The 10,559-nt window shown below is 41.4% G+C and overlaps 1 protein-coding gene across 4 annotated transcripts in view, besides 1 other annotated feature; it reads left to right on the plus strand.

The window, feature by feature from the left end:
- Window positions 1-10,559, plus strand: part of POLH (DNA polymerase eta) — a 44,339-nt gene that overhangs the window by 26,555 nt on the left and 7,225 nt on the right. For all 4 annotated transcript variants that reach the window (NM_006502.3, NM_001291970.2, NM_001291969.2 and 1 more), the window contains 4 exons: window positions 1,153-1,272; window positions 1,876-1,999; window positions 2,515-2,580; window positions 7,815-7,984. In NM_006502.3, coding sequence (NP_006493.1) covers window positions 1,153-1,272; window positions 1,876-1,999; window positions 2,515-2,580; window positions 7,815-7,984 — 480 coding nt within the window. The remainder of the gene's footprint in view (window positions 1-1,152; window positions 1,273-1,875; window positions 2,000-2,514; window positions 2,581-7,814; window positions 7,985-10,559) is intronic.
- Window positions 9,222-9,447: a silencer, noted in NCBI's record as "fragment chr6:43579698-43579923 (GRCh37/hg19 assembly coordinates)". NCBI's record gives its function as "represses an EF-1alpha promoter that drives an FKBP-Casp9 reporter gene in an ReSE screen in K562 erythroleukemia cells {active_cell/tissue: K562}" and the evidence as "EXISTENCE:reporter gene assay evidence [ECO:0000049][PMID:32094911]".

Here is a 10,559-nt window from a genome sequence, read left to right on the forward strand (position 1 = left end):
TCACTGTAGCCTCCACCTCCTGGGTTCAAGCGATTCTCCTGCCTCAGCCTGCCCAGTAGCTGGGACCACAGCTGCATGCCACTACGCCCGACTAATTTTTGTATTTTTAGGAGAGATGAGGTTTTACTATTTTGGCCAGGCTGGTCTCAAACTCCTGGCCTCCAATGATCTGCCTGCCTTGGCCTCCCAAAGTGCTGGGATTACAGGCATGAACCACTGTGCCCAGCTGACTGTTTATATTTAGGTTATGTATTCCTTTTTTTTTTTTTTTTTTTTTTTGAAACAGAGTCTTGCTCTGTCTCCCAGGCTGGAGTGCAGTGGCACAATTAAGAGCTCACTGCAGCCTTAACCTCCTGGGCTCCAGCAATCCTCCTGCCTCAGCCTCCCAAGTAGCTGGGAGCACAGGCACATGCCACCATGCCCAGTTAATTTGCTGGAGTACAGTGGCACAATCTCGGCTCACTGTAACCTCTGCCTCCTGGGCTCAAGTGATCCTCCCACCTCAGCCTCCCAAGTAGCTGGGACTACAGCTACATACTACCACACCTGACTAATTTTTTTGTATTTTTTTTGTTGAGACAGGGTTTCGCCATGTTGTTCAGACTGTTCTCAAACTCCTGGGCTCAGGTGATCCACTCGCTTCTGCCTCCCAAGTGCTAGGACTACAGGAGTGAGCCACTGCACCTGGCCTTAATTTTTTTTTGTAGAGTTAGGGTCTTACTTTGTTGTCCAGGCTGGTCTCAAACTCCTGGACTCAAGCAATCTTCCCGCCTTGGCCTCCCAAAGTGGGATCATAGGTGTGAGCCATTGTGCCTGGCCAGATTATATATTCTTAAGTAAAGTTTTAGCCATGGAAGGGATTTATTTTGTGTTTGGGATTTTAATCCCCAAACAGGACAGCAGGCGTTGTACAATTGAACGTTTTATATACAGTTTACTTGATAGTTAATCAAGGACTTTAACCTTTTGGTTATGTTATTTTTAATCTTCTTCTCAAATTCTAACTCCCAGAGTAACTGAATTCCCAGAATATATGCTCTCATTTGTCCTGAACCTTTTGGAGAGCTGTTTACAAAGTAGAATGTCTTACGTTTGCTGCTAATTAGATAGTTATGATGTGACCTATCAATTCTTTGTCTCCTTTGTTATCAGCCGTAGTCTTGGAGGAAAGCTAGGGGCCTCTGTCATTGAGATCCTAGGGATAGAATACATGGGTGAACTGACCCAGTTCACTGAATCCCAGCTCCAGAGTCATTTTGGGGAGAAGAATGGGTAAGTGATTCATTTTTTTTAAAATCATAACCTTTATGGAGATGCTATATTCAAATATAGACAAAACCATCTAGTAAAATCCAGACCTATCTTTAGGTTAACATTTGTTTCTTGAGATTATTTCACTGGTTCTTCTTGCTTCAATATCTTGGGTCACTATGGCCCATCAGTCTAGAGTAGTTTTTTCCATGTACCTAGGTGGTTGATAGATAAGATTTGTTACTTTGATGCCTGAGTATATACTAATTACATCATTCATGCATGCTGAGATGCTATATTCTCTTAAAATCCTTGTGTTTAATGCCCTAGCAAGCACACACACATTTTGGGATATGAATCAGTGGCTTGCTTGGCATTTTTCCAAAAATACAAATGATGACTTGGCTTTAGAAGACAAAACCAGTGTTCTCATTGTCCATATATTGCACTGGAATTCACTGAGAAGGGCAGGGGTTTCGTCAGAGGTCCGGTACACTAAATTTTGGACAAGGTTTTCCTTTTTCATGAAAAAGATAAAAGGGCAATATAATATAGTTATTTGGTTTTGTTTTAACAAGAATAATCATTTAATTTCACCTTAACGTTTTTTGCTGGTCTTATTAGGTCTTGGCTATATGCCATGTGCCGAGGGATTGAACATGATCCAGTTAAACCCAGGCAACTACCCAAAACCATTGGCTGTAGTAAGAACTTCCCAGGAAAAACAGCTCTTGCTACTCGGGAACAGGTAAGCTGGCATTCTTGACAGAACACTACCTCTTTTAAAGGGGTCAGTGGGTAGGTTTTGGTAGCTGTGGAAGGTTTAATAGGTTAGAGGAGACCTTTATAAAGTATGAAGAAAACAGATGTTCTGTCCTTGGGTTGAAAATTGACTAGTTTATGATTATTACTTTTTTCTCTTTCGTCTATCGAAATAAAATGGAATTTCTCATTTGTTTAGTAGATGGAGACTTGGAAAGCCTAGGATATTATGCTTCAAGTTTGGGTCTTGTCTTTTTCTCAGAGCTGGAACATGCTTGAAAGTCACCTGATGGCAAACAAGCAGGAAAAGAAAATGAAAGGCTTGAGCTAGGGCAGGACAGAAGGACTGGGAACATTTCTATGATCTGGTGATCCTTTGATTATGGGGAGTCTTTGGTGCACAATTCTGTTTGGGAGAAAAAAAAGAACAAATAACACCATCTAGTTCTTAATAGACTTCGAGTGTTTAAATGAAAGATTAAAGTCTCAATACTTTTTTAGGTACAATGGTGGCTGTTGCAATTAGCCCAGGAACTAGAGGAGAGACTGACTAAAGACCGAAATGATGTAAGATTTTCTTTCTTTATTCCTGGGGTGGGCTTTGCAATTTACATATCAGCTGCTCTTTACCTTATGGAGCAGGAACAAAGACAGAAAAAAGTATTAGCATAGGAAATATCCGTTTTCTTTCTTTTTTTTTTTTTTTTTTTTTTTTGAGACATGGTCTCACTCTGTCTCCCAGGCTGAGTACACTGGCACAATCATGGCTCACTGCAACCTCTACCTCTTAGGCTCAAGCTCTCCTCCCAACTCAGCCTCCTGAGTAGCTGGGACTACAGGTGCATGCCACTACAACTGGCTAAATTTTTTTATTTTTTGTAGAGACAGGGTCTTGCTAGGTTGCTCAGGCTGGTCTTGAACTCCAGCCAAGGAAATTTTAAGAAATCTTTTTAAATTTTTTAATTTTTTAATTTTTTTTTGAGACATAGAGTTTTCCCTCTTGCTGCCCAGGCTGGAGTGCAGTGGCATGATCTTGGCTCACTGCAACCTCCGCCTCTGGGTTCAAGTGATTCTCCTGCCTCACCTTCCCAAGTAGCTAGGATTACAGGCACATACCACCACACCCGGCTAATTTTTTGTTTTGTATTTTCAGTAGAGACGGGGTTCTACCATATTGGCCAGGCTGGTCTTGAATGCCTCACCTCAGGTGATCCGCCCACCTCAGCCTCCCAAAGTGTTGGGATTACAGACATAAGCCACCACGCCCAGCCAGTAGTGGCAGTTTTAAGCACATTTTATTGTGTATATTTGATGTTTACAACATGATGCTATGGGATACATATAGTAAAATGGTTACTATAGTGTAGCAAATTAACGTATCTATCATTTCACATACTTTTTTGTAAAAAAAAAAAAAAGTAGTTAAAATCTACTTAAAATCTCTAATAGAATTTTATTAACTATAGTCCTCACTTGTACATTAGCTCAATAGACTTGTTCACCCTACGTGTCTGCTACTTTATATCCTTTTACTTACATCTCCCCATTTCCTCCTCCCCTCCCCCATCCCAGGTAACCACTGTTTTATTCTCTATCTCTGTATATTTGACTTAAAAAAAAAATTCTGAGCATTGTACATTTTTCTTTCTAATGTTAAAGACATCTGATGATTAGTTTCTCTCCTTTTTTTTTTTGAGACTGAGTTTCGCTCTATCGCCCAGGCTGGAGTGCAGTGGAGCAATCTTGGCTCACTGCAACCTCCACCTCCCAAATTCAAGCGATTCTCCTGTCTCAGCCTCCCGAGTAACCGGGATTACAGGTACCTGCCACCATACCCAGCTAATTTTTTTATTTTTAGTAGAGACGGGGTTTTACCTTGTTGGCTGGGCTGATCTCGAACTCCTGACCTCAGGCGATCTGCCCATCTTGGCCTCCCAAAGTGCTGGGATTACAGGCATGAGCCACCGCACCCGGCAGTTTCTCTCTCCTTTTTAAATAGCTTTATTGACATATACTTTACATACCACAAAATTCACCCATTTAAAATAATTCAGTGGTTTTAGTATATTGCAGAGTTCTACAACTATTCTACAATTTTAGAGCATTTTTATCACCCCCCAAAAGAAATCCTGTGCCCATTACCAGTCACTCCCCATTTCTCTCCCAGCTACTCCCCAGCCCTAGGCAACCACTACACTGCTTAACTGTTCTGGACATTTCATATAAATGTGGTCTTTTGTGAAAATATGTGGTCTTTTGTGACTGGCTTGAAGTCTTTCACTTAATATGTTTTCAGGTTCAGCCGTATTGTAGCATGTATTAGTACTTAGTCATTTTTTGTTTGTTTTGTTTTTGTTTTTTGAGACGGAGTCTCGCTCTGTCACCAGGCCAGAGTGCAGTAGTGCAGTCTCGGCTCACTGCAACATCCGCCTCTCCAGTTCAAGTGATTCTGCTGCCTTAGCCTCCCGAGTAGCTGGGATTATAGGCACGCGCCACCACGCCCAGCTAATTTTTGTATTTTTAGTAGAGATAGGGTTTCACCATGTTGGCCAGGGTGGTCTCAATCTCATGACCTTGTGATCTTCCTGCCTCAGCATCCAAAAGTGCTGGGATTACAGGCGTGAGCCACTGCGCCCGGCCAGGACTGACACCTTTTTATGGCTGAATAATATTCTATTGTATTAATATATACCATATTTTGCTTATCTACTTATTAGTGAATGGACATTTGAGTATATTTCCACTTTTGGCTATTATGAATAATGTTGATATGAACATTCATCTACAAGTTTTTGTGTAGACACCTGTTTTCTTTCCAGCATATACCTTGGAGTATAATTTCTGGGTCATATGTTAACTCTATGTTTAGCATTTTGAGGAATCGCCAGACTGTTTTCCACAGTGGCTACACCATTTCACATCCTTACCATCAATGTAAGAGGGTTCCAATTTTTCCACATCCTTGTTACTGACTTTTTAAATTTTAGCCATTCTAGTGGGTGTGAAATGGTATCTCATTATGGTTTGGCTTACATTCTCTGATAATCTTTTCATGTGCTTGTTGGACATTTGTATATCTTTGGGGAAATGTTTGTTGAAATCCTGTTCCTGGGCCGGGCGTGGTGGCTCAAATTTTTGGAGGCCGAGGTGGGCAGATCACCTGAGGTCAGGAGTTCGAGGGTAGCCTGGCCAACATGGCGAAACCCTGTCTCTACTAAAAATACAAAAATTAGCTGGGCGTGGTGGCGGGCACCTGTAATCCCAGCTACGCAGGAGGCTGAGGCAAGAGAATCGCTTGAACCTGGAGGTGGAGGTTGCAGTGAGCCGAGATTGCGCCATTGCACTCCAGCATGAGCAACAAGAGCAAAGCTCCACCTCAAAAATAAAAAAGAAAAAACAAAAATCCTCTCCCCTTTTTTAAATTGGGTTGTCTCTTTATTATTGAGTTTTAACATGTCCCTTGTCAGATACGTGATTTGCAAATATTTTCTCCCATTCTGTGGGTTTTCTTCTCACTTTCCTAATGGTATTGTTTGATGCATCCTCTTCTTTTGAAATGTCTTGGAGTTCTACAAGTCAACTGTACATGTCAAGAATAGTCCAAAACTGCTCGTTGCTCCTTTTTAGCTGGAATGGGTGGTAAATGTTTGTTCCTTTGGTAGGCATCATAAAGAGGGATTTGATCCAGTTGCGTTATCGCCCTTTTCCGCTTTTGCCCACTAGGTGGCACTTGTTTCTCATCTCTCTCTAAGTCCCTGGGGCCTTTCTTTCCACTTTTTTTTCCTAAGAGACAGGGTCTTGGCTGTCATCCGTGCTGGAGCACAGTAATACAACCTTAGCTCACTGCAGCCTTGTAGCCTCAACCTCCTGGGCTCAAGTAATCCTCCTGCCTTAGCCTCCCACAGTGCTGGGAGTACAGGCATGAGCCACTGTGCCTAGCCTTTTCTTCCCTCTTTGTATCCAGTGGGGATCCCTGAAAATCTATCTTTTAAGCTTCAAAGGACTTTATGCCAAAAATAATTCAGGACATAGCAGATCCTATCACTTCACTGTTTAAAACATTCCAGTGGTTTCCCTTCACACTTAAGGCATATTAAGGAATTTTTTAAAAGTAATTCTATAAAGCCAAATATAATCTAATTTCTTGCTACTTCTCTGACCCCATCTCTTATCTTCCCCTCACTTATTCTAGTCTCCACTTCACTGGCCTCCTTCCCTTTATCTAACACACTAAGTAAGCTCTTACTTTAGCACTTCCCGTTTCTTTGCCCTGGAGACTCTTTGTTCATATATTCTTAATATTTGCTTCCTTGATTTATTCAAATCTCTGTGCATGTATTACATTCTCCAGGAGGTCCTCCCTAGTTACCCTATCACAGCAGCAGCCTCCATCACTCTCTGCCTTATTCTGCTTTTCTTCATAGCACTCATCTCTGTGGTCATTTCTGTTACATGTCTATTTTTTATTATCTATAGTTCCTACTACAACATAGGATCCATGAGGACCTGGACTTTATTTTGTTCTCTCCTGCATCTCTAGGCACTGTCTAGGCATGCAGTTATAGTTGAATAATTTTGGTCAACAAGGACTCCTTTATAATTGCTAATTTGTATTCCCTCAAGATATATAAATCCATACAAATGTATTTTTTATCCAAAAAGTAGTTCCTGCTCTTAGCTTGTTTGCCTTAGGGATACTTCTTCTCACTAGCATCTTTTGATAGGGGTCCCTTATGTAGAATTTTCACCTTCTTATATTTCTGCCTCTTGACCATTATGTCTCAGTTTGCTGAGATTACAGCATTCAGATGCTTCAGACTTCACTGAAAAGTGAGTCATGATCTTGCTCTCTCAAGGCAGGCTCACTATATGGTATCTTCTCTAGATAAGCTGTAAAAAGGTGTTGGTAGAAACTTCTGGAATTGGTGGCGAATGTTTGTTTACCATAAGAGCCCCAGGGCAGAAAAAAAGATATGACTTGAAGCCTAGTTCCACTTTGCTTTCAGACAATTACTTACCTGAAACCTTCCTTCAGTCACAAAATAGTATCTAGTATTGTAGATATTTGTTATAATTGTCCTGCTTAGACACCATGAAAAACATTTAGGGGAGTCCCATTTTCATTTGTGCTGTCCTGTTCCCATCATCTGTCAAAACATCCTAGGATACTCCGATGTTCCATAATCCAAATTATGTCTTCTTCAGTTACTTTTTACACCCAGAAATAGCATTAACACTTTTTTGTGGAACCATGTAATCAGATTTCTATTCAGAAAATGCATTCTGTTGCATATATATAGATTCTTTTTTTTTTTTTTTTTTTTTTTGAGACAGAGTCTTGCTCTGTCATCCAGGCTGGAGTGCAGTGGCACCATCTTGGCTCACTGCAACCTCTGCCTCCCAGGTTCAAGCAATTCTCCTGTCTCAGCCTCCCGAGTAGCTGGGATTACAGGTGCCTGCCACCACGACTGGCTAGTTTTTTTGTATTTTTCAGTAGAGATGGGATTTCGCCATGTTTGCCAGGCTAGTCTCGAACTCCTGACTTCAGGTGATCCACCTGTCTCAGCCTCCCAAGGTGCTGGGATTACAGGCGTGAGCCACCATGCCTGGCCTCTTTCTCTTTTTTATATTTTATCTTTACTCTTTGCAGAACTCAGTTTACCTTTATTCTTGACTTTTAAACTACTGTTTCCAAACCATTGTCACCCTGGTTCTTTTAATTTCCTCTCCTGCAGTTCAGTACCTAGAATTCAGATGCTCCTCATAACTTTATTTCTGGTCTCCATCCTTTCCACCCACAGAATGACAGGGTAGCCACCCAGCTGGTTGTGAGCATTCGTGTACAAGGAGACAAACGCCTCAGCAGCCTGCGCCGCTGCTGTGCCCTTACCCGCTATGATGCTCACAAGATGAGCCATGATGCATTTACTGTCATCAAGAACTGTAATACTTCTGGAATCCAGACAGAATGGTGAGTTCTTTTCTAGCTCATCTTCTCAGAATAGATGATGATTCTTAGCTCTGTCTTAGCTCTACAAGACATAATTTTTATCATAAAGTTCCTCATTGTGTCTAATCACTCAAATTTTCACATGAGCTGAATTTCAGAAGATGAAATATGCTTTTATGTACAGATTAGTCCTTCAATGAGGTAAAGGGTAAATGTCATTTTAAAGTTATTATTAAAGTATCGGCCGGGCGCAGTGGCTCACGCCTGTAATCCCAGCACTTTGGGAGGCCAAGGTGGGTGAATCACCTGAGGTCTGTCTCAGTTCTACAAGTAGTAGGAATCTCTGTCTTAGCTCTACAAGTAGTAGGAATCTGAGCTCTTCCATCTGGGATAGACTCTGACTCAGACTACCAGTACCTGTTACTCTGGGAGAAAATACAGTACCAACCTCAGAAACAAGACAGCTCAGCACAGATCCTTTGCCGACAGCTGATACATTCCAGTTCCCAGGAGGTTAGACCCTTACTCTGTATTGGCTTGGTCAGGGAAATGACCAGTTGCACTTGGAGAACAGAGCTCAAATTTCAAGGATACATTTGGGAACTTCAAACTACTTGATTGTTCTATCTTAAAAGCATATTTCTTGATTATAAAGGTGACCTGTGTTCACTGATATTCTCTATCTGACATCCCAACTCAGTTACAAGCTCCACTGGTATTATACCAAATGTCATATTCATTAGTAAACTTCACTTCTGTTGGTCATGAAATATAAGCCTCTTTTTGGAGCATCTTCATTTTCTGTCCAGATATTAATGATTTTCAGGATTGGAATCCTTTAATTGCATATTTAATAAAGCCCTTACTTTTTTTAAAGTATTCCAAATTCACAATAGAAATATAATTATGAGAGAGAGGTAAGTCAGTTGCTCACTTACAGATGTATATTGAATATTATACAAAATAAAATCAAAGTTTAGTTAATCGCTTATTACTTATCTAAATATATTGGCAGTATAATTATGTGTACAGACCTATAATATGGTGGAGTCTCCTAGTCTTTGTTCATAGGGCCGGGCGCGGTGGCTCACGGCTGTAATCCCAGCACTTTCGGAGGCCGAGGCAGGCAGATCACCTGAGGTCAGGAGTTCAAGAGCACCCCAGCCAACATGGTGAAACCCTGTCTCTACTAAAAATACAAAAATTAGCCAGGCATGGTGGTGGATGCCTATAATCCCAGCTACTTGGGAGGCTGAGGCAGGAGAATTGCTTGAACCTGGGAGGTGGAGGTTGCGGTGAGCCGAGATTGCGCCATTGCACTCCAGCCTGGGCAACAAGAGCGAAATTCCGTCTCCAACAACAACAACAACAAATAAATAAATAAATAAATAAAGTCTTTGTTCTGAGAATAATTTACTTAATACTTCCTGATATATTTATTTTCAAATATTGAAGTTTTACAAAACCAAATAACAACCGTGGTACTAATGTACACATGAAACCTTATTTGAAAAGTTATAAATTGACAAACTATAACAAATACTACTCACCAACGGTGTGAAACTCCGTGATGCACAGGGAAGCATCAAAATTATCTGATTATAAGACTGTCCCAAAGCATGAAACCTGAGGATATTGGGATACTTTTTTTTTTTTTTTTTGAGACGGAATCTCGCTCTTGTTGTCTAGGCTGGAGTGCAGTGACGCAATCTCGGCTCACTGCAACCTCTGCCTCCCGGGTTCAAGCGATTCTCCTGCCTCAGCCTCCTGAGTAGCTGGGATTACAGGTGCCCGCCACCACGCCCGGCTAAATTTTGTACTTTTAGTAGAGACAGGGTTTCTCCATGTTGGCCAGGCTGGTCTCAAATTCCTGACCTCAGGTGTTTCACCCACCTCGGCCTCCCAAAGTGCTGGGATTACAGGCGTGAGCCACTGCACCCGGCCAATAGTGTAATAATAACTTTAAAATGACATTTACCCTTTACCTCATTGAAGGACTAATCTGTACATAAAAGCATATTTCATCTTCTGAAATTCAGCTTATGTGAAAATTTGAGTGATTAGACACAATGAGGAACTTTATGACAAAAATTTCTGATTTTTTTTTTTTTTTTTTTGAGAGGGAGTCTGGCTCTGTCACCCAGGCTGGAGTGCAGTGGCGCAATCTCCGCTCACTGCAACCTCTGCCTCCCGGGTTCAAGCAATTCTTCTGCCTCAGCCTCCCAAGTAGCTGGGTTACAGGCGTGTGTCACCACACCCAGCTAATTTTTGTATTTTAGTAGAGATGGGGTTTCACCATGTTGGTCAGGCTGGTCTCATACTCCTGACCTCATGACCCACCCGCCTTAGCCTCCCAAAGTGCTGGGATTACAGGTGTGAGCCACCGCTCCCGGCTATCACAAGAATTTCTTAAAATGTTTCTGAAATTGGGACTAGTAACGAAAAGCAGTTGTGGAATTTCATTCTCTAGAAATTCCAGAGTGGTAAGTCAGTCAGGGTTAGGTAGTGCCCTGTTTAAAAACAGGATAATGGCTAAGAGGATTTTTTCAAGTCTTTCTAGTCTAAATATTCTAAAGCTTTTTGTTGTCCTGAATAA

Source organism: Homo sapiens, chromosome 6, assembly GCF_000001405.40.
Source record: "Homo sapiens chromosome 6, GRCh38.p14 Primary Assembly".
NCBI lineage: Eukaryota > Metazoa > Chordata > Mammalia > Primates > Hominidae > Homo > Homo sapiens.